The 23,122-nt window shown below is 47.0% G+C and overlaps 1 protein-coding gene across 12 annotated transcripts in view, besides 5 other annotated features; it reads right to left on the bottom strand.

Moving 5' to 3' along the window:
• The window catches only part of ZNF274 (zinc finger protein 274), a 30,502-nt gene extending 7,822 nt beyond the window's left edge, over positions 1-22,680 (bottom strand). For 3 of the 12 annotated variants that reach the window (XR_007066543.1, XR_001753589.3, XM_017026175.2), the window contains exons 1-3: positions 21,743-22,342; positions 19,903-20,029; positions 18,699-18,794 (exon numbers count right to left, since the gene is read on the bottom strand). Coding sequence is in view for 7 of the 12 variants with exons in the window: in XM_017026175.2 (XP_016881664.1) it covers positions 18,699-18,794; positions 19,903-20,029; positions 21,743-21,775 (256 nt within the window). In the remaining 5 variants the exon portion in view is untranslated. Of the gene's footprint in view, positions 1-18,698; positions 18,795-19,902; positions 20,045-21,742 lie in introns of all 12 variants that reach the window. The other 9 variants (NM_133502.3, XM_047438078.1, NM_001278734.2 and 6 more) reach the window with 8 other exon arrangements.
• Positions 21,644-22,355: an enhancer, noted in NCBI's record as "NANOG-H3K27ac-H3K4me1 hESC enhancer chr19:58694753-58695464 (GRCh37/hg19 assembly coordinates)". NCBI's record gives its function as "activates a minimal SCP1, AML or CMV promoter by ChIP-STARR-seq in naive H9 embryonic stem cells {active_cell/tissue: H9 hESC(naive)}" and the evidence as "EXISTENCE:reporter gene assay evidence [ECO:0000049][PMID:30033119]".
• Positions 21,828-22,017: an enhancer, noted in NCBI's record as "active region_15180". NCBI's record gives its function as "activates an Ori minimal core promoter by ATAC-STARR-seq in GM12878 lymphoblastoid cells {active_cell/tissue: GM12878}" and the evidence as "EXISTENCE:reporter gene assay evidence [ECO:0000049][PMID:35858748]".
• Positions 22,268-22,687: an enhancer, noted in NCBI's record as "active region_15179". NCBI's record gives its function as "activates an Ori minimal core promoter by ATAC-STARR-seq in GM12878 lymphoblastoid cells {active_cell/tissue: GM12878}" and the evidence as "EXISTENCE:reporter gene assay evidence [ECO:0000049][PMID:35858748]".
• Positions 22,268-23,069: a biological region, named in NCBI's record as "NANOG-H3K27ac-H3K4me1 hESC enhancer GRCh37_chr19:58694039-58694752".
• Positions 22,356-23,069: an enhancer, noted in NCBI's record as "NANOG-H3K27ac-H3K4me1 hESC enhancer chr19:58694039-58694752 (GRCh37/hg19 assembly coordinates)". NCBI's record gives its function as "activates a minimal SCP1, AML or CMV promoter by ChIP-STARR-seq in naive and primed H9 embryonic stem cells {active_cell/tissue: H9 hESC(naive and primed)}" and the evidence as "EXISTENCE:reporter gene assay evidence [ECO:0000049][PMID:30033119]".

Here is a 23,122-nt window from a genome sequence, read left to right as displayed (position 1 = left end):
AACTGAACTCCAGGACTGTCCTGAAATGCTGAGGAGGCAGCACAAAACAAGAGGAAACAAGAAAGCTCTCTAAAACTCCCCTTCAAAATGCTAATTCTAAATAATTTGGCCAGCGGGGTGGCTCACACCTGTGATCCCTGCACTTTGGGAGGCTGAGGCAGGAGATTCGCTTCACGCCAGGAGCTTGAGACCAGCCTGGGCAACATAGTGAGACCCTGTCTCTAAAAAAGTTTAAATTAATCAGGTGTGATGGCATACACCTGTGGTCCTAGCTACTTGGAGGCAGGAGGGCTGCTTGGGCCCAATAATTTGATTTTACAGTTATCTATGATTGCACCACTGCACTCCAGCCTTGGCTACCAAGCCTGATATTGTCCCTAAAAAATAAGGCCTTAAAAACAAATATAAAAGTATAAATAACTACAGATTATGACTTACTTTTGATATTTGTAATATTTAGTGGCAACGACAAGAGCAAACCTGCAATTTCACCCTTGCTGTTGTGAATATAAATGGTCAGCACAATTCTACCAGGAAGTAGCTCAGCATGAACTAGCAAAGCCACAGCAAGGAACCACAGCTACTTTCACGGGATGAATCTACTGGAGCTATTCGGAGATGAAGATAGGTATAGAGGCACCAAAGGAATGAATAAAAACACAACAGCCAAACCAAATATAGTTAACACAGCACTGACCCACAACCTCTGGCAACAAGCACAGCTCAGGACTTAGATGACTGCCAATATACCCTTTTACTGCTCCCCGCCAAGCCAATAGGGTTCTCCACTCAGAACCCTTCCTTATGAATGCACGTCTTCTCACTCCCTACCTGCCTTTGACTCTCTCTACAGAACACAAGGGACCGTGGCTGGCTCCCTACTATACCCGGCTCTGAGTCAACCTCTGGGTGTCCTCATCTGGACGGCCTGGTCTTTATTTCCACAACATACCTGGAATATTCCTGCCCCGCGCGGTGTTAGGACAAAACTGGAAGAACGGGTAGTGTTGTAACACAGTTTAAGAAAATTGTTAAAAACTCCCTTGTAAGCAGTAAAACCTGCACTACTTTTAGCGTGATTATTACAGCGCAGAAAAACGGTCGCAGAGCAGAAAATTACTAGTGTGCAATAGCTGCAGCTACGTTAAAAATAAAAAAGCTCGGGCGGAAGCATCTTTCAGAGCCCGGAAGCCGCCTGCACAGACCCCTCCTCGGCCCTGGTCTCTCACGCACCCGCCGAGTCCGTCATCGCGCACTCAGGAATGCGAGGCCACAACCATAAGCTAACCCTTTCGCCCAGAATAGCACCGTCCACACAAGACCCAGTCTCTCAGCCGACGAAATGGGTCGACGCCTACAACGCCTCTAGGCCACGCCTCGAACCCTGCCCCCCCTGGACCCGGAAAAGCGCCCAGAACTACGACACCCGCGGGGCCTACAGCTCCCAGCAGCCTCCGAGACACGGGCTTCCGGTACCGTTCTCCCTAGTCCCCGCTGACAGGGACACGTCCTGGGCCTACATGGGGCAACGGGGCAGTGCGGCAGGAGTTTCCACGCCTGCCCCACCTGAAGGTATTTCTCCGGACCTCGCGGGCTGGGGTAGACGTTCCGCTGAGGCCACAGCAGACGGCTCCCAACCCCTCCCCTCTCCCGTTCCTCGAGTACAAACCCTGGTCTGTCTGGGCTTCCCGTTTGCGCGCTGCACAGGTTTGGCTGGAGGTGCCCACCGCTGGCACGGGCCCAGGGAGTCAGCTCCGCGCTGGGATCTGCCCAGAGCCAGTGCCCGCGCTGCCTTCTCGCAGCCCAGGCCGTCCTTCCAGCGAGGTGGCGCAATTGTAGATCACGACCTGAGCCACGCTTTAAATTTTCGACCATTACCAGTCTACGCTTGAAGTGATTTTTCTTCTTGATAAGATTAATCAGACACACTTGTGCACCTAATTCCAACCTCTTCCCCCAAATAAGCTTTTGAGGTATTTTCATTTTGGGGGCTTGGCCTCTCCAACTCATTTATAAGTGCTCTGATCTGTATTTAATTCCCTTTCTGTTTCTTAGGACTTCTGGGGACTTACTTCGCCCCAAGTAACTTTTCTTAATTTGAAAGCATACTTCATTTATTTTCTTTCAATTACAGCGTTTTTTTCTTTTTTTTTTTTTTTTTGAGACGGAGTTTCGCTCTTAGTCGCCCACGCTAGAGTGCAGTGGAGGGATCTCGGCTCACTGCAACCTCCGCCTCCCGGGTTCAAGCAATTCTCCTGCCTCAGCCGCAGCTGGGATTACAGGCGCCCACCGCCAGGCCCAGCTAATTTTTGTATTTTTAGTAGAGACAGGGTTTCGCCATCTTGGCCAGGCTGGTCTCGAACTCCTCACCTCAGGTGATCCGTCCATCTCGGCCTCCCAAAGTGCTGGGATTACAGGTGTGAGCCACCGTGCCCAGCCCAATTACAGCTCTTAAGGCTTGAATTTTTCCTGAGAAGCAGCTGGGGATAAGATTTACTGGAGGCCCAGCAGCACCGGACTAAGTGCCTAGGACATGGGACATGCACCAACTGAATCTGTACTTCCTGGGGGGGGGCTAAGTGGCAGACCAGCACTGGGCCACCAGTACTATTTTAGGTAACCATGCATGACACTTAAACATCTTAAACGTTACTTCATAAATTTCTAAAATTTCATTTTTGTATTCCTTAATCGAGGGATTTTCATGCCTTGGCCCCTAGGAAAACAACTGTTGGATTCTTCTACTCCACCCCACCCCTTTCTAATGTACTTACTTCTGCTTTAATCTTTATTATTAACCCATGAGGCCCCACACTCTGTTCTGTACACAGTTATCATAAAGCACCTTTTGCATGCTGTGGAACCAAGGACACCACAGTGAACAGAGAGACCACAAACCCAGAAACTGGTGAGGAAGTGATGGACTCATTCTGTGCACCTCAGTCCTCCAAATGTCAACCCATAGACTATCCCAAGACCTTTAGGGCAATCCTTACCACTGTCTATTGCAGGAAATTAGCTGCTCCACTTCATGGAGGAGAAAATGGAAGCTCTTAAGTTCACCACCAGGCAGAGGTGGAACTGGATTCTCATTCCACCCATCTCATTCCACAGACATGACTGACCCAACCCACTCATGTGGAGCTGCATAATCCCTATCAGCTGGAGCTCCAAATGGCTTTCAGTCCAGCAACTGAATGAGCCCGTAGCAATGTAGTCACCTCACCTACAACTGTCTGTCTAATGGGTTGTGAAACAAATTCACTGAGGCTCAAAGCAAGGGGTTTAATCAAGAGAGATTAACTTCTTGAGCCTGAGTTTCTTCACCCAAAGTGATGAGATACCAAAGTCCAGGCACAGCATGTGGTAAGGGCTTGATGGGAGCTGCTGCTTTCTCCCTCTTGACACTATTTTCTTCTCTCAGGATACTTCTACCTCTCTGCTGCTTCCCTTCCAGGGTGACAAACAGGCCTTAGGCAGCTGTCTTCCTCACAGTGCTGTTTGCCAGTGAATGCTGATTAGCCAGGTATACCAGTCCAAAATATAACGAAAAGCAATGATCTTTTTAGCAGCTTGTGGGGGAAAAGTCAGAAGAGTACTTACCCTCAGCTCCCCTAATCCCTGGGCACAGTACCCCATCACTTTTCCTCCTTGTCTGGAAAGCTCTCAGCTCTCCTGTTCTCTCTCATCATTCCCTCAGTGCCCCTAAGCTCCCTGTTGGATTACCTTCTGCATCTGTCTCCTCCAGTGTACCACTGAGGCTGCCAACTGGGACTTGTGGATCTCACACCCCTAAGTAGAGGATCTGCCAAAGGCTGCTGATCATCTTTACGTTACTCAGTTTTTGAATCAATGACAGTACCATCATTTCACGAAGGCTGCCCACAGTCCCAGGAAGCAAATGTACACCATACACAAAAGAAATATGCCTGGTGCGGTGACTCATGCCTGTAATCCCAGCACTTTGGGAGGCCGAGGTGGGCAGATCACAAGGTCAGGAGTTTGAGACCAGCCTGGCCAATATGGTGAAACCCCGTCTCTACTAAAAACACAAAAGTTAGCTAGGCGAGGTGGCGGGCACCTGTAGTCCCAGCTACCTGGGAGGCTGAGGCAGGAGAATCACTTGAACCCAGGAGGTGGAGGTTACAGTGAGCTAAGATCACACCACTGCACTCCAGCCTGGGCGACAGTGCAAGACTCCATCTCAGAAAGAAAAAAAAAAAAAAGAAATTCATGCTGGGATAGGCTAGGAACCCTGCCCAGGGTTGCAGAGTGGATGATCCGGTTTGGTTCTGTGTCCCTACCAAATCTCAGGTTGAAAAGTGATGCTGTGTTGGAGGTGGGGCCTGGTGAACCTTCAAGAATGGCTTAGCACCATCCTCCTGGTGGTTAAGTTAATCACACGAGATCTGGTTGTTTAAAAAAGTGTGGCCGGGCAGAATGGCTCACGCCTGTAATCCCAGCACCTTGGGAGGCTGAGGTAGGTGGTTCGCTTGAGCCCAGGAGTTCTAGACCGGCCTGGGCAACATGGCAAAACCCCATCTCCACAAAAAAAAAAAAAAAAAAAAATTAGCCAGGCGTAGCGGCATGTGCCTGTAGTCCTGGCTACTCAGGAAGCTGAGGTGGGAGAATCGCTTGAACTCAGGAAGTCGAGGCTGCAGTGGGTCATGATCGCACCACTGTACTACCGCCTAGGTGAGAGTGAGACCGTGTCTCCAAAAAAAAAAACAAAACAAACAAACAACAGTATGCGGCACCTTCTTCCTCTCTCTGGCTGCTGCTTTTCCCATGATGTGCCTGCTCCCTGCCTTCCACCATGAGTAAAAAGCTCCCTGAGGCCTCCCCAGAAGCCAACCAGATGCCAGTGCCACCCTTGTACAGCCTGCAGAACTGTGAGCCAATTAAATCTCTTATCTTCATAAATAACCCAGTCTCAGGTATTTACAGCAATTTAAGAACGGCCTAACATAGTGGGCAACAAAGGAGCCGGGTTCCAAACCCTGTTATTTCATGTCCTTGACGCTAAAGGGGTCTCCCACAGCCACCATCTTAGTTTTCCTAGAATATGGCCTTTCATCCAGAGATCCACATGTGCACCACCCTCCTGCCTGGTATAGTCTTCCCCAACATCTTCGCCTGGTTCACCTTCCCCAACATCTTCACCTGGTTCGCCTTTCCCATTCAGGTCTGAGCTCAAACGTCACCTCCTCAGAACCATCTTCCTACTTAGTTCTGAACTACTGCTGCCCACCCGTACCTCGCTTGTCCCCCACCAATGTATCCCATTGTTTCCTTCTCTTTCCAACACTCATTACCATCCCAAATATCTGATTCATTAATTTATCATGTCTATCACCCTATCTAGAGCAGTGCTGTCCAATGGAACTTTCTATAAATGAGATGTTCTAGATCTGTACTGTCCAACATAGTAGCATTAGCTGCAGGGCCAATGAGCAGTTGAAAGGTGCCCAGTGCAATTGAGGTACTGAATGGGCAACTTCATTTTTGTTGATCCAATCAGCCATGGAATGGATGTAGGCCCAATGAAAGCAGGTGTAAGACCTGCCCCACTCATCACTGTGATCCAGCCCTGGAACAGTACCTGGAATCCTGGCAAGTGCTCAAGTAATATTTGTTGATTCAACACAGCTTCTTTGCAACATGAAAGCACACATAGTTTGCACCCCACTTGCTTCTTCTCAGCCAAGCCCATGTCAGGGACTTGTATTTCTGGTCCCATGGTAAAATGGCCCCAGCAGCATTTCTCCAGAGGTTGATGGCTAGAATGACTTCAGGACTCAGGAAAAGGACATCAGTACTTCTAGCCTTTTTAAGCCCTCAAAATAAGTTAATACTTCTATTTATCAAGTCTTCCACACTCCAGCACTTACAACTTTCTTCAAATAGGTCCTGCTCATTCTTTAATAATTTATTCTTTGGTATAACTTTTTAAAGGTATTAATGTATTTTGTATATCCATGTCAAATTTGATATTCCTGGTGTAAACCAAAGCTTTTTCTTTCTTTTTGAGATGGAATCTCGCACCATAAGCCAGGCTGGACTGCAGTAGTGCGATCTCTGCTCATGGCAACATCCAACTCCTGAGTTCAAGCAATTCTCATGCCTCAGCCTCCCGAATTACAGGTGCACGCCACCACGCCCGGCTAAGTTTTTGTATTTTTAGTAGAGACAGAGTTTCACCATGTTGGCCAGGCTGGTCTTGAACTCCTGGCCTCAAGTGATCCATTCACCTTGGCCTCCCAAAGTATCGGGATTGAGCCACTCCAGTACAGGTGTGAGCCACCATACCTGGCCAAGCCAAGCTATTACTATGAATTTATTTTGTAATGTCATTTTGCTGAATCTTTTTTTTTTTAGACAGAGTCTTGCTCTGTCGCCCAGGCTGAAGTGTAGTGGCACAATCTCGGCTCACTGCAACCTCCGCCTCCCGGGTTCAATCAATTCTCCTGTCTCAACCTCCTAAGTAGCTGGGATTACAGGCGCCCACCACCACACCTGGCTATTTTTTGTAGTTTTAGTAGAGACAGGGTTTTGACATGTTTGCCAGGCTGGTCTCAAACTCCTGACCTCAGGTGATCCACCTGCCTCGGCCTCCCAAAGTGCCAGCATTACAGGACTGAGCCACCGTGCCCAGCCAAATAGTATCATTTTAATAGTATTTCAGAGGTGCGCACCCCAGCACACATGGCTAATTTTTAAATTTTTTGTAGAGACCAGGAATTGCTATGCTGCCCGGGGTGGTCTCCAATTCCTGGCTCCAGCAATTCTCCCACTTCACCCTCCCAAGGTGCTGAGATGGGTGAGCCACTGCACCCATCCCTGTCTTTAATGGGAAGTTAAAAAATCTCCACTGCTCAGGGCAGTACTCAGATGCAAGTGGTCAATTTGTTCTAAAAAAAAAAAAAAAAAAAAGTCAAAGTTAATTTTAATATTTCTCCTAGGACTAATTTTGGCAACTCTACACTTTTCCAAAAATCTTTCCATGTTTTGTTTGTTCATTCCTACACTCAACAAATAATTACTGAGCACCTATACTGTGTCAGGAACTGGACCAGGAAGCAGTGACACAACAGGAAGGAGCTACCATTTCCATATGATCACAGTTATGGGCAGCACCTCCGAAAATTAATATAAAATTCCAAAGAAGTCTCCATGTCTTTCCACTGATGATCAACTGACACACAACCATGTTTGTGTGTTCGCACTTGACTATGTATTTTGTTATTTTTAAATTTTTATGCTCATCTTCTGTACTGTTCCAATTTTAGTATATGTGAAGCCAAAGCAAGCACACTTAAATTTTAAGAAATAGTTTATGTATATTTATATATTAAAATGTCATATACTTTAAGTACACACATGTGGTTTCAAATCAATACATAAAGAGGTTGCTCATTCTTTGTAACAGCTGTGCAAACTACTGTAACTAAAAACTACATGTAAAATATCTGTACAGGTTCTTTTCCCCTGTATAGGTTTACTGGTTGGTTATTTATTCTTTACTTACTCAAAGTCATTTTGGCATTCTGCCTATCCAGAAAATGAGCTCTTGGAATATTTTTTTCTTCTCTATTTCTGACTCATTTATTCTTCTTTTTTTTTCTTAAAGCCATTGTTCCTCTTTCTATAGGACTGTTGATGGTATTTTTCTTTCCCCCCAAAAATGTCTGCTTCAAACACTTAGTTCGTTTGTTTTCCTTCTTAATTACTACTTAAGACATTTCAGACTTTGAAGTTATCCCTGAGTACAAGCCCTAGAACACAGGGAGAGTGATCCCCAGATAAGAGGATCACGATTTACACAGGTCTTAGAGATCAGATATGTGGGAGGTGGCAGAGAATGTAAAGTGTTCTTCAATAAAAGATCACAAAGCATGAAATGACTCTGCTTCACTGAATTCCAGCCAAAACATGTTTGACAGCCACCCAACATTCCAGACTCAACCTAGTTGCCAAGAATGTGGGCCCCGCAGAGTTCTTTGTAGCACTCTCTCAAGATTTTCCTTTACCCTCTCTTACCTACCCTTTTGTTTCAAAGCCTGGCCTTGTATTCAGTCTTCTCTTTGAAGACATATTCTTGTCTCCTGCAACTTCTTCAGACATCTATTCACTCAACGTTATGTACTGAGTTCCTAGTAATTCAGTCATTGTGTTAGCAAATGGGGACATACAGAAGTAAAAGAACACCTGCTCTCATCCATATTTTAAATATTTGTTCTAGATGTTCAGGTCAGATAATAAGCAAATTAGAAGAGACAAGACTACATTTATATACTTATCAGTGTTTTATGTAGGGTTTGCCTTCTCTACGACATGATATAAAAATAGGATGAGACATTTCATTTTTATTATTCAACGGGGTTCTTTTCAGTGTATATTTTTTTCGTTCTGTCACATAAGGTGAGAGTTAAGGCTGGTCATTTGTCTGCACAGATTTCATTCACAGGATGTTTGCCCATATGAGTCCTCTGATGCTGAAAACAATGAGGACTCCTACTGAAGGGGTTCCCAAAATGCTGTGTTCAGAGAGGGATCCTTGCCAGTGAGTTCTGGGACACCCGAAGGCTTCCCAGCCCTATGTTCTCAGGTAATCTCTAGTACAACTTCTGTGATGCTGAATAAGGGAGCTATGCATAAAACCTTTCCCACAGCAATTATATTCTCATGGTTTCAGAAGCTCTTAGATGTAATACTCAATGTAAGAACTTTTCCAGTATGAATCCTCTCAAGATAAGACTGAGTTAGGCCAGAAGTCTTTCCTCACGTGATCATATTTCTGAGGTTTCTTCCCTGTGTGAGTTCTCAGATGGTGAAAAGTTCATGAAAAGGACTTACTTCATTTGGGGTGTTTGCTGGTTAATGTCCCGTGAAAGATGGCAAAGACATTAAAGAGGGCAAAAACATTAAAGAGGGCAAAGACAGGCTGAAAGTGAATTTTTTCAAACTAAACACATTTACTCCATCTTATTCTTGGATAAAAGAATGGTATGCTGTTGATCACTCTATAGCCTATGTGACCCTCTCAAGCTATACAAAGGATGGAATCTCAAGAAGAATTTGGCTTTCTTCCTCCCAATAAAACACTCACCTCATCAAACTTATTTTTCAGACTCATGTTTGGTCTATGTTTCAAAAAAGCTGCTAAGTTCTTATTTGTAGGACTCATTTCCTACTTAACTTTGTTTTTTTTTCTGCAGTGGCAGGATCCCAGCTCACTGCAACCTCCACCTTCCAGGCTCAAGCCAACCTCCCACCTCAGCCTCCCAAGTAGCTGGAACTATAGACACACGCCACCATGTGTGGCTAATTTTTTCTATTTTATGTAGCAATAGGGTTTCGTCATGTTGCCCAGGTTGGTCTCAAACCCCTGAGCTCAAATGATCTGCCCACCTTGGCCTCTCAAAGTGCTGCAATTACAGGCATGAGCCGCCGTGCCTGGCCTCTACTTAACTTCTTGACAAGTAAAAAATGTAAAATGCCCTGCAGGGTTTCCTAAATCATGACCTTCATAATAGTCTCTTCCCTGCATTCCTTTCCTAATGACTAAATCTGTAATAGTTTACATCTCAAGTATTCCACCCAAGAGCCACATATATGGCAATGGTTCTTGAAGGGACATTAGTGAGAGCTGAAGATTCGAGTGCCACCTATTTTCCCTACATTGCTTACTGTCACAGCATCATTCCTCATTCAGTGCTTTCCTGAGGATGAATGCCATTTGTCCTAGCATTTGTTTCCCTTCTACTTAAACCAGGGGTCCCCAGCTGCCAGGCCATAAACTGGTACCAGGCTGCACGGCAGGAGGTGAGCGGCAGGCAAATGAGCATTACCATCTGAGCTCCACCTCCTGTCAGATCCGCAGTGGCACTGGACTCTCACAGGAGCATGAACCCTATTGTAAACTGTGCATGAGGGATCTAGGCTGCATGTTCCTTATGAGAATCTAATGCCTCATGATCTGGGGTGGAACAGTTTCATCTCAAAACTATCCCTCCCCACCCCAAGGTCCACGGAAAAACTGTCTTCCACAAAACCGGTCCCTAGTGCCAAAAAGGTTGGGGACTGCTGACTTGACTGCCATTCTTGCTATCATGGGAAGCTCGAGAAGCACACAGAGTTGTCAAAATGGCCCAAGTCTAAACTCAATACCAGTTCTGTCCATTAATGAGATGCACAGCTATGCCACTGTTGGGAGAAACTGACCACTTTAGAAGACAGTTCCCCGTCTCACACTCACAGTAAAGCATTCCATTCTAAACACCTATGACTTCCACACGGATGTTTTTATGTGCTGTGTGGATCTCCTTCTTAGGTCTAAATAGGTGTATTCGACTGGATTTGCAAACCCTTGAGTGTCTCTATGGTGCCTTCTCATTCATCTGTCATTACAAGAATCAGTTAAGACATGGGACAATTCAAAAACTTCAATCAATGTGAAAGCTATTGAGTTATCCATACTATTAGTGTGTATATATATACACACACATATATACACACACATATATGTGTATTTTTTTTTTTTTGAGACAGAGTCTCACTCTGTCGCCAGGCTGGAGTGCAGTGGCACCATCTCGGCTCACTGTAACCTCCACCTCCTGGGTTCAATCGATTCACCTGCCTCAGCCTCCCGAGTAGCTGGGACTACAGGTGCACACCAGCATGCCCAGTTAATTTTTGTATTTTTATTTATTTATTTATTTATTATTATTATTATTTTTTGACATGGAGTCTCACTCTGTCGCCCAGGCTGGAGTGCAGAGGTGCTATTTCAGCTCACTGCAAGCTCCGCCTCCCGGCTTCATGCCATTCTCCTGCCTCAGCCTCCTGAGTAGCTGGGACTACTGGCGCCCGCCACCGTGCCCGGCTATTTTTTGTATTTTTAGTAGAGATGGGGTTTCCGTGTTAGCCAGGATGGTCTCGAACTTCTCAGGTGATCCACCCGCCTTGGCCTCCCAAAGTGCTGGCATTATAGACATCAGCCACCGCGCCCGGCCGAAGAAAAAGATTAAAAATTATTTCAACACAAAAAGTAAAAAACAGACCAGGTGTGGTGGCTCACACCTGTAATCCCAGCACTTTGGGAGGCCCAGGTGGGAGGATCACTTCAGGTCAGGGATTTGAGACCAGCCTGGCCAACATGGTGAAACCCTGTCTCTACTAAAAAGTCCAAAATATCAGCTAGGTGTGGTGGCAGGTGCCTGTAGTCCCAGCTACACAGAAGGCTGAGGCAGGAGAATTGCCTGAACCTGGGAGGTGGAGGTTGCAGTGATGTGAGATGGGGCCACTGCACTTTAGCCTGGGTGACAAAGTGAGAGCCTGCCTCAAAAAAAAAAAAAAAAAAAAAAAAAGGTAAAAAACAAAACACAAAAAACACAGAAAACACAAACCCCTTATTTCCTCCCCTCAGCAAAGTCTAGGTCTTTACCAGACATCCCCACATCCTTGGCTAATGCCAAAAACTCAGAAATAATTGTTCTCCCTTATCATACACACACACACACCCACACACACACATATTTTTGAAACAAAGGCTGGAGTGCAGTGGTGCACTGCAATCTCAACCTCCCAGGCTGAAGTGATCCTCCTGCCTCCACACCCAGCTAATTTTTGTTATTTTTTTGCAGAGACTTGTATTCACCATGTTTCCCAAGCTGATCTCAAACATCTGGCCTCAAGCAATCCTCCTGCTTTGGCATCCCAAAGTGTTGGGATTACAGGTGTGAGCCACCACATCTGACCCTTTTATCTCATATGTGATATAGATATATAGATATAGATATAGATATATTTTTTTGAGACCGTTTCTTGCTGTGTTGCCCAGGCTGAAGTGCAGTGGTACAATCACAGCTCAATGCAGCCTCAAACTCCCAAGCTCAAGCAATCCTCCTGCCTCAGCCTCCCAAGTAGCTGGGACTACAGGGATGCAGCACTGCATCTGGCTTATTATTTTTATTTTTAGTAGAGATGACGTTTTGCTGTGTTTGTCAGGTGGTCTTGAACTCCTTAGTTCAAGTGATCCTCCCACCTTAGCCTCCCTAAGTGTTGGGGTTCCAGTCATAAGCCATCACACCTGGTCCCTTTATCATATTTTTAAAAGAAGCGATGGACACATACAGGCACAGTCCTGTAGTCCCAGCTTCTCAGGAGGCTGAGGTAGGAGAATCACTTGAACCCAGGAGGCAGAGGTTGCAATGAGCCGAGATTGCACCACTGCACTACAGAAGCCTGGATGACAGAGCGAGACTCTCCAAAAAAAAAAAAAAAAAAAAAAAAAGGCCAGGCGCGGTGGCTCACACCTGTAATCCCAGCACTTTGGGAGGCCAAGGCAGGCAGATCATGAGGTCAGGAGATCGAAACCATCCTGGCTAACACGGTGAAACCCTGTCTCTACTAAAAATACAAAAATTTAGCTGGGCGTGGTGGCGGGCGCCTGTAGTCCCAGCTACTCGGGAGGCTGAGGCAGGAGAATGGCGTGAACCCAGGAGGTGGAGCTTGCAGTGAGCCGAGATTGTGCCACTGCACTCCAACCTGGGCAACAGAGCGAGACTGTGTCTCAAAAAAAAAAAAAGAAAAAAGATAGTGACAAAAAGAATGTACAGTTGGACCTGTATATTCTGTGGGTTCCACATCTGTGGATTCAACAAACTCTGGATTGAAAATATTTGAGGGAAAAAAAAAAATGAATGATGTGCCAAACATGGTAGCTAAAGACGGTAATCTCAGCACTTTGGGAAACTGACGCGGGGAGGATTGCTTGAGGCAAGCTCGATACCAGCCTGGGCAACATGGTGACAAAAAAATATAAAACTTAGCCAGGCGTAATGGCGCACACATGTAGTCCAAGCTACTCACGAAGCTGAGGCAGGAGGATCACTTGAGCCCAGGAGTTCAAGGCTGCAGTGAGCCATGATCATGCCACTACACGTCAGCCTGGGTGATACATAGAGTGAGACCTCAACTCAAAAAAATATATAAAAGATGGCTGCAAATGTACTGAACATGTGCAAACTTTTTTTCCTCGTCACCATTCCCTAAACAGTGTAACAACTACTTACACAGCATTTACATCATATTCGGTATTATAAGTAATCTAGAGATGACTTCAGCTATATGGGAGGATGTGAGTAAGTCATATGCAAACACTACACCATTTTATATTGGGCACTTGAGCATCTGTGGATTTTGTTATGTGCAGGAGGTCCGACTTTACGTATGAAATATGTTAGACGCAGTCACCTACGAGAAATTCTTGATGGCTTGTTCTTTCATCCCTCTCAATCACTCACCTAGGTCCACTGAGTCCACCTATGAATCACACACACCTGATTTTCCCCAAATGTGCTGTTACTCTCAGGCCACTTATTACCACATGTTAGCAGGTATTACCAAGTATAACTGCGGGCCCTGCCTGCCTCCAATCTGTGACATACCACAATTCTTTCTTCACAGCCACCCAGAGTGAGCTGTGAAAAGCAATGTCACATCCCTTCATTTTACCTACTCCTAGTCCACTAGGCTCGAAGTGGCCCTCGAAATGCTAAGTTCTTTCCCATCTGACAGTCACCTCAAATGGTGCCTCCATGCCTAGAAGCTGTCTTCACCACCAATCCTATATGTCCACGGACTTATTTTCCTTCAGGAATTGGCTAAAATCTCACCCCTGCAGTGTCCCCTGACTAGGTCTTCTGAAGTAATTCCCCACTGCTCCCCTTCTTTATATCAGGCTTTTTTCCTTCTCAGTACATTTATCACTGTATCTGTGTAACATGTTTGTAAAAGGCCATCATTGTTTAGACTATGAAGTCTAAGATGGTAGAGATTATGTAAGTGCTTTGGTTTATCACCGAAGTTTTTAGTAAGTATATTGCATGGGACAGAAAAGGCCCTCCATAAGTATCTGTGAGGTGGAAGAAGGAGAAGAGGAAGGACAGCATCTAATTAAGGACTCTTTCTGTGACAGAGCAGAGATGAGTTGGACACCCATCACCTCAGGCTGAGACTGCAACAGTACCTCCTGATGAGCCTCCCCTCATGTGGCCTCTGACTCTGGGACACCACCCTGAATCTGTCACCTGTGGAGTCAGCTCTCCCAAGATGTGTGGCACCCACAGTGCCCCAGACATCAGCCAGATTTAGGATACTACCAGATCATCCAGAAGTGTATGGCCTGGAGGTTTGCCCATTCAGGACATGAGTCCTCAGCTCCAAGAAGGATGAAACGCAGACTTGTCACAGCCTGAGTAATCCAGAGACATAAAGACCAAAAGGAAGATCAGGAGGCTGGGCCGGGGGCAGTGGCTCACGCCTATAATACCAGCACTTTGGGAGGCCGAGGTGGGCAGATCACAAGTTCAAAAGATCAAGACCATCCTGGCCAACATGGTGAAACCCAGTCTCTACTAAAAATACAAAAAATTAGCTGAGCGTGGTGGTGTGCACCTGTAGTCCCAGCTACTCTGGAGGCTGAGGCAGGAGAATCACTTGAACCTGGGAGGCAGAGGTTACAGTGAGCTGAGATGGCACCACTGCACTCCAGCCTGGCGATAGAGTGAGACTCTGTCTCAAAAACCAAGGGGCACAGAAACCACTGCAGGCAGATACAAAGTACTTGCATTGCTGGAGACTTTGCAGATGAAATAGTTTAGTGACCTCTTTTGCTAACAAAGATTTTCAGTGAAGGGAATGGAAGGAAAAACTTTGAATGTGGAAACAAAAACCAAAATACTAATGCTGAGCCAGGAAGCTGAAATACGAAGAAATCAGAAACAGGGCCCCCAGAAAGGTTGGGGGTTGGGGAGAGTCACAGAGAAAGACTCTAGCCCTCTATTCTGTGGCAAACAGGTCATCACCAAGGATGGGGGTTAGGTGCAGATGTCACAGCTCAATACTGCCAGAAGTGGGCAGTTCTGATGCCACTTGCACCACAGCACAGAAAACAAAGAGAAGGGAAAGCATTCAGCACACTGACAGAAAAGCTGACCAAGCAAACACACAAAGAAAACCACCTCCCCAACATAATTTATGAATACTGACACAAAAACCCTTTAAAAATTCAAGACTCCAGCAGCACGTTACAAAACTTCTACATCTATTATACTCCTATGTTAACTGCTCAAAGGAGAAGAATTGTGTGACCACTTTAGTATGCTCTAGAAGGGAAATAGAAGATATTACCGATTTTTATTCATCAGGAAAGACAACATGACTATTTGTTAATCCAGATAAAACTGATTTGAATCAAAGCAGAATCTAGCATTAAGCTCATCAAAACCTAGAAACTTTTCCATTTAAGTCAGAGACTAGATACCAACTCTTTAAACTCTGAGCTTCACACAATTTTGGATATACTATCCATGATGAATACAACTACATGATGTAACACAACTGTTACAGATGATTAAAAAATTGGCCGGGCATAGTGGCACATGCCTGTAGTCCCAGCTACTCAGGAGGCTGAGGCACGAGAATCACTTGAACCCAGAGGATGGAGGTTGCAGTGAGCTGAGATCGCACTGCCCTACAGCCTGGGTGGCAGAGGGAGACTCCATCTCAAAAAAAAAAAAAAAAAGAGAGAGATAAATTTTTTTTTTTTTTTTTGAGATAGAGTCTTGCTCTGTCGCCTAGGCTGGAGTGCAGTGGCGCAGTCTGGGTTCACTGCAACCTCTGCCTCCCAGGTTCAAGTGATCCTCCTGCCTCAGCCTCCCAAGCAGCTGGGATTACAGGTGCGAACCACCACGCCCAGCTAATTTTTGTATTTTTAGCAGAGACAGGGTTTCACCATGTTGGCCAGAATGGTCTCGATTTCTTGACCTCATGATCTGCCCACCTCAGCCTCCCAAAGTGCTGGGATTACAGGTGTGAGCCACCGTGCCCGCCCGGCCAAAAAAGATCAAAGAATTTAAGAGCATGACAGGTTCATCTGGAACAACTATGCAAGACCATGAGGCAGGATTAACCTGATCAGGTAATAGTAATAATGAAAACCTAATTAAATGTAATACACATCCCAACAAGATTTTCTCAATGAACACTGACAAGCTGAGAATAAGTGTTCATCTGGAGAAATAGATCGCTAAAGCCAGCTAAGACTTTTTCTTTTTTTTAAATGACAAGGGGAACTACTATATATCAAAGTACAGTAACATGGCATTTACTCAGAGACAGAAAAGATCAAGGGAGAGCCCATAGAGGCCAGTATATAAAGACAGCTATTTAGCCCATGACAAATATGATATTTCCAATAAGCAGAGGATGAACCCCACCCATATATAAAACGAAATTCCAGATAAACTGAACTAAAAAGAAAAAAATTTAAGTGCTGTGATCCCAGCACTTTGGGAGTCTGAGTCAGGAGGACTGCTTGAGCGCAGCAGTTCGAGGTATATAACAAATACCACAACACACTAAAGTGTTTGGATAATCTACCTATATATGATACAGAATCTAAAACAGAAACAAAGACATATTTGAAAAGAAAAAGAAATTATAAAACTTCTGTATAGAGACTACATAAAGGTAGACAATATATGGTCTGGGATATGATATTTCAATATTAACATCCAGAACATAGAGAATTCCCACAAACAAGAAAAAAATGAGAAAATATATGAACTCACAAAAGAAAAAATACAAACAGGCCATAGATTTATAAAATATGTCCAACTTGGTCCGTTGTGCGGAAAATGTGAACTAAATTGAACATATTGTATTTATCCCATCAGATCTGCAAACCTTAAAAAGACCATTACAAATTGCTGTTGATAAAGAAGAAAAAGAGTTGTCATTTACTTCAGCCAACTCTACGTAGGCTGAAGGATTTTTAATTTTTTTTTTTTGAGACAGGGTCTCACTGTCAACCAGGTTAGAGTGCAGTGGCATGATCACAGCTTACTATAACCTCAAACTCCTAGCCTCAAGCAATCCTACTGCCTTGGACTCCCAAATTGCTGGGATTATAGGCATGAGCCCCTGGTGCCTGGCCTATTTTTAAAGATTTATATATATATATATATATATATATATATACATATACATATATATATACACACACACACACACACATCTATTTTTTACATATATATATATATATATATATATATTTTTTTTTTTTTTTTGAGATGGAGTCTCACTCTGTCACGCAGTGGCATGATCTCTGCTCACTGCAACCTCCATCTCCTGGGTTTAAGCAATTCTCCTGCCTCAGCCTCCCAAGTAGCTGGGATTACAGGCACCCACCATGCCCAGCTAATTTTTGTATTTTTAGTAGAGATGGGGTTTCACCATTTTGGCCAGGCTGGTCTCAAACTCCCGACTTCAAATGATCTGCCTGCCTTGGCCTCCCAAAGTGCTGGGATTACAGCCATGAGCCACCGTGCCTGTCCTATTTTATTTTCTTTATAGAGACAGGGTCTCAAACAACCTCCCACCTCAGCCTCCCAAAGTGCTGGGATTACAGGTGTGAGCCACTGTGCCTGGCCTTAAAGGATTTGAGATGGCAATTTGTCACTACCAGATTTTTAGTTTACAACATTGGCTGATCTTGTAGTTCCATATTTAGAAATCCAACCTACAGAAAAACCAACTTGTTCGTGCAAAAAAAAAGTATGCAAGGAAGTTTTCTGCAGTAAATTTAATGTCCACCAAAAGAAGAAAAATCAAATGTGGACCACACTGAAGCTGTTAAGAATAAAGCAGAGGTCGGGCACAATGGCTCATGCCTGTAATCCCAGCACTTTGTGAGGCCAAGGTGGGTGAATCACTTGAAGTCAGGAGTTCAAGAACAGCATGGCCAACATGGTGAAACCGTCCGTTACTAAAAATACAAAAACTAGCCTGGAGTCATGGTGCACACCTGTAATCCCAGCTACTGCAGAGGCTGAGGCTGGAAAATCACTTGAACCCAGGAGGCGGAGGTTGCAGGGAGCTGAGATCACACCACTGCACTCCAGCCTGAGCAACAGAGTGAGATTCCATCTCAAAAAATAAATAAAATAAAGCAGACCAGACAGACACGGTGGCTCATGCCTGGAATCCCAGCACTCTGGGAGGCTGAGGTGGATGGATCACTTGAGCTCAGGAGTTCAAGACCAGCCTGGGCAACATGGTGAAACACTGTCTCTACAAAAAAACAATTAAACGGGCATGGTGGTACATGCCTATAGATCCAGCTACCTGGAAGGCTGAGGTCGGAGGACAGCTTGAGTCCAGGACGCGGAGGGTGCAGTGAGCTGAGATCATGCCACTGCACTCCAGCCTCGGTGACAGAGACCCTGTCTCCAAAACAAAAAGAAGCTGACTTGTCTGTATTATAACACCCCCAAAATGTGTATATATATTCACATACATTCACGTAAGCCTATATAAGAAAGTCTGGCTGGAAATACACACCAGGGTTACCAGTGATTATGAGGGGAGGGCAGTAGACAATGCGTGTAACAGACTAAGGGAGCCCCTACTGTCAACACAAGTATCACCTGCCACCAGCAACAGGTTCACTTTCAACCAAGTAGGACACTGCTGACTGTGGAGCCAGAGAAAAACTTCGAGTTTGGTTCTGCAACTGCTCATCACAGCATCCCACCTGGGGTATCCCAATGTCTACTGCTTTTCCAAGATACTGGTCCCTGACTCATCAGTTGGCCCCTTCCCTGTGGGGGCTTCCCATGTCTGGTTCTCACCTGGAATGGTGTCTTGAGGAATTCCTCTCTCCACTGGCCAGAAATCTTCTGCCTCCTCTAACTGAGATACCACATCTGGTTTGGAAAGCTGATGTTCTGCTCAAAGGAAAAGAGACAGGGCTTGTGGGGGTCTGTGTTCAGGAGAAAATGCTATCCTACTGCAGCACAAGCCGTCTCCAGCTTCTCCCCTGCTAAGGCACATGACTTCTGGCCTAGAGCAGTGAACACAACTCCATCCATCCCTGTTGTTGGCTTTCCTAGACTCCTTTGCCAAGCAGCTAAGGGGTCCAGTTCTGGTCAGCCAGACACAAAGGGAGATCGGTCAGCTGGGAAAGCTTTTGCTTTCTGGTTAAACATGACAGCTGTGAAAGGGCTACCCCTTCTCCTTGTTTCTGCCTTGAACACAGATGCAATGCTTGGAGCCACAGCTGTGCAATGACTAGGGGGAACATGGAAAGGTTCACAATAACCAGAGTTTGAAGGGACAGGCTTTTTTTTTTTTTTTTTGAGACGGAGTCTTGCTCAGTTGCCCAAGCTGGAGTGCTGTGATCTGATCTCAGCTCACTGCAATCTCCTCCACCTCCCATGTTCAAGCAGTTCTCCTGGCTCAGCCTCCTGAGTAGCTGGGGTGCTCGGCTAATTTTTGTATTTTTAGTAAAGACAGGGTTTCATCATGTTGGTCAGGTTGGTCTAGAACTCCTGACCTCAACTGATCTGCCTGCCTCAGCCTCCCAAAGTGCCAGGATTACAGGCGTAAGCTACCGTGCCTGGCAGGGACAGGCTCTTTGATGCTACTCCTAAGCTGTTGGGACACTGGCATCGCATTGTCTGGAATTTCTGTGGAGTTTCTTTTTTTTTTTTTTTTTAATAGAGACACGGTCTATGTTGCCCATGCTGGTCTCAAACTCCTGGGCTCAAGCAATCCTCCTGCTTCAGTCTCCTAAAGTGAGCCACCATGCCTGGCCGGAACTCTTGTTGCAAGAACAATAAGCATCCACTACTGCAGCTGAAAACATCCCTGACAGACCCATCTCCCTGGTATTCAGGGAGGGATGGACTAGGCAATGATTCAGAAGTCATACTGAAAAGCTGCCCTTTTCCTACTGGTGCCCCTGCAGTGTGAGCCCAAGCAGACACATACTTCAGAGGTGCTACATTTGTGCTACAAAGCACAGATCCTTCTTGACCTGGAGGCCAGCCTTACCCACTGAGACCAGGTTCCTGTAGTTCTCCAGCATCACTTCCCTGTACAGGGACTTCTGTTTGAGGTCCAGCAGTCCCCACTCTTCCGGGGTAAAACCCAGTGTTACATCTTCAAAGGTCACTGGTTCCTAAAAATCCAGATTCTTGTTCAGCCACAGGCCATCCGCATCCACGACAAAAGAAAGACAGGGGAGGCTGACCAGGCCAGTGAAAGCACAGAATGGTCTACAAGATGACCCAAGGGCATTTTGGGAGTCTCATCCTGAGTTCCTGTCTTTGTCTGAAACCCCAAGCAAACCCAAGCTTGACTCTATTCAGGTTACAATAAGGAGAGCAACACATGAGATCTCTGTAGCATATGAAAATCTGTCCATTTTATTTATTTATTTATTTATTTAATTTATTTATTTATTGTTTTGAGACAGAGTCTCACTCTGTCTCCTAGTGGAGTGCAGTGGCGCAATCTTGGCTCACTGCAGCCTCCACCTCCCAGGTTCAAGCGATTCTCCTGCCTCAGCCTCCTGAGTAGCTGGGATTACAGGCGCATACCACCATGCCCGGCTAATTTTTGTATTTTTAGTAGAGATGGGGTTTCACCATGTTGGTCAAGCTGGTCTCGAACTCCTGACCTTGTGATCTGCCTGCCTCGGCCTCCCAAAGTGCTGGGATTACACATGTGAGCCACCGCACCCGGCCCTATTTTTCTTTTCTTTTTTTTTTGAGACGGAGTCTCTCTCTGTCGCCCAGGCTGGAGTGCAGTGGCGCCATCTCGGCTCACTGCAAGCTCCGCCTCCCCGGTTCACGCCATTCTCCTGCCTCAGCCTCCCGAGTAGCTGGGACTACAGGCGCCCGCCACCACGCCCGGCTAATTTTTTGTATTTTTTTAAGTAGAGACGGGGTTTCACTATGTTAGCCAGGATGGTCTCAATCTCCTGACCTCGTGATCCACCTGCCTCGGCCTCCCAAAGTGCTGGGATTACAGACGTGAGCCACCGCGCCCGGCCCCCTATTTCTTATTCATTTGAAAATTCTGACTTTGGGAGTGGTGCGTATGCCTCCTAGGGAATTCTCTGAGCTGCACCATCACACCCAAGCCGTCAGCCCCTACCCAGGGCCCTGATGCTTCTTTCTATCTCCTTCACCTGTCAGGGATCCATCCTCACCTGTCTTTTCTACTTGTTATTGAACTCTGCTGCTGTCACCTCTTGCTTGATGCCAATTTATCTGCTGAAATCTAAACATAAGCCTGATCCCTGCATAGACCTTTGGGAGGCCGAGATGGTCGGATCACCTTAGGTCAAGAGTTCCAGACCAGCCTGGCCAACATGGTGAAACCCCGTCTCCACAAAAAACACACACAAAAAATAAAAATAAAAAAAAAATTAGCTGGGTATGGTGGCACACGCCTGTAGTCCCAGCTACTCGGGGAGGCTGAGGCAGGAGAATCACTTGAACCCAGGAGGCGGAGGTTGCAGTGAGCCAAGATCGCGCCACTGCACTCCAGCCTGGGCGACAGAGGGAGACTCCATCTCAAAAAACAAAAAACAAACAAACAAAAGACCTGTCAATTACTCTTCCCAATATAAAGGATACAAGCAAGAGCCTTAACCTGGCCTTCAGAAGCCCCTACAATCTGGTCTCTATTCTAACTACACCCTTGGAAAACCAAGCAACCTGCGGTTCCACCATCACGCAGGATCTCTCATGCCCAACCAATCTCTACCCCCTCCCCGAGGTGCTCTGGAGGATGGGGGTATCTCAGGGAAGGTGGTATCTCACCACCATCCGCATCCTCCCAGGTGCAGTAGCGGACTCAAAAGCTGAAGGAAGCCTCTACTCACACAGGACCAGGCCGTCGGAAGCCTGGAGGCCATAGTTTCCTCCTTCTCAATGTGTCTCTGGTGGAAGTGGGCAGAGTCCTGAGGAAACCGAAGTTGGGAGGGGAGGGAGAGGCTTAAGGTGTCCGCTGGGGAGCTACCGCAGCCTCCGCCCAGGAACGGCTCCCTCAGCGGGAAATGACAAGTCCACCCAAACTGGAAAACGCCCAGAGTGAGTCATAGGACTCCCACAGGACTGGATAGGACCAGTTTTCCCCTCCCCGAGAGGACACCGAGCCTCCTCTGTCCCGCGCATCGGAGGGGATCGCCTCCCTGGCCCAGACCCCACGCTTCCGGAGGCGATCTGTTCTCTCCACCGCGGCGCCCCGAAAGCACTGTCTCCCCTCGGGGTTCCGGGTCACCGACCCCATCCCACAGAGCGGCGGGAGGACTGCAGGCACGGCCGGCTCAGGGTACCCGAGCTCGGCGGAAAATGCAGAGGCCGCGCTCGCCCCCAACTAACGGTTCTGGACCCGCCCAGCGCAGCCCCCGACGGACGCAGGTTTCGCGCGGCACTCACCCGGCGCGCGCCGCACAATGGCGCCCGTCGGCCGGCGGCGAAGTGCGTCAGCCCGCCGTCCCGAACTACAACTCCCAGACGCCCCCGCGGCGCGCCAGCTTGCCTCACCCAGCGGCGGCCATCTTGACTGGCCGGTTAGGGGCGGCAGGCGAAGCCGGGGACAGCAGGAGGAGGATACTCGTCGATGTCCCTCGGCGGTCCAGCTAGGCAAGGGGAGGCCTCTGGTGAGGGACGCTAGGCCGCAGGGCCCCACACTAATGTGGGCGGCGACCCGAGCTGGGAGAGAGTCGTGCCCTGCCACGAAGGCGACCACTCTTGGGGCAGAGCAGAAGCTGGAGAAAGGAAAGGCGCTGGACAGGGGTCAGGCCGGAAGTGCTGGAATGGGTGATGCTTGGTTGGGTGGCGGTGGGGGCGGGATTAATTATGACGTCCCTTGGGAAGAGGAAGGGCGGGTAGGGCCGGAAGTGCAGGGGGCGGGCCTAACTGGCCGTCCATCTGGGTGGAGGGGCGGGGACAGGGAGGGCGGGGAGAATGTAGGAGGCGGGGCTAGAGTCCACGCAACTTTTGGGGAAGGAGGGGGACTGGAAGACGGAAGTCGCGGGGGGAGTGGGGAGAGGTACTGAAGTTCCACCAGTTTCAAAGTCGAGAAAGAAGGGGAGGACTGGGAGAGCCGGAAGTGTGCAGGAGTTGGGACTGACGGCACTTATGTTTCTGGGAGATGGGTCCTGCCTGAAAGTGAGGGTGGACAGGGCCAAGTGTCCACTCAAGGTCAGGGAGGGGAGGGAAACTCGGAGGACCGGAAGTGTGATGGGAACGTGGCCAAA

Source organism: Homo sapiens, chromosome 19 (genome assembly GCF_000001405.40).
Source record: "Homo sapiens chromosome 19, GRCh38.p14 Primary Assembly".
In the NCBI taxonomy this organism is placed as follows: Eukaryota; Metazoa; Chordata; class Mammalia; order Primates; family Hominidae; genus Homo; species Homo sapiens.
The sequence above is the reverse complement of the archived record's forward strand: the minus strand, read 5'-3'. Positions and strand labels throughout refer to the sequence as shown.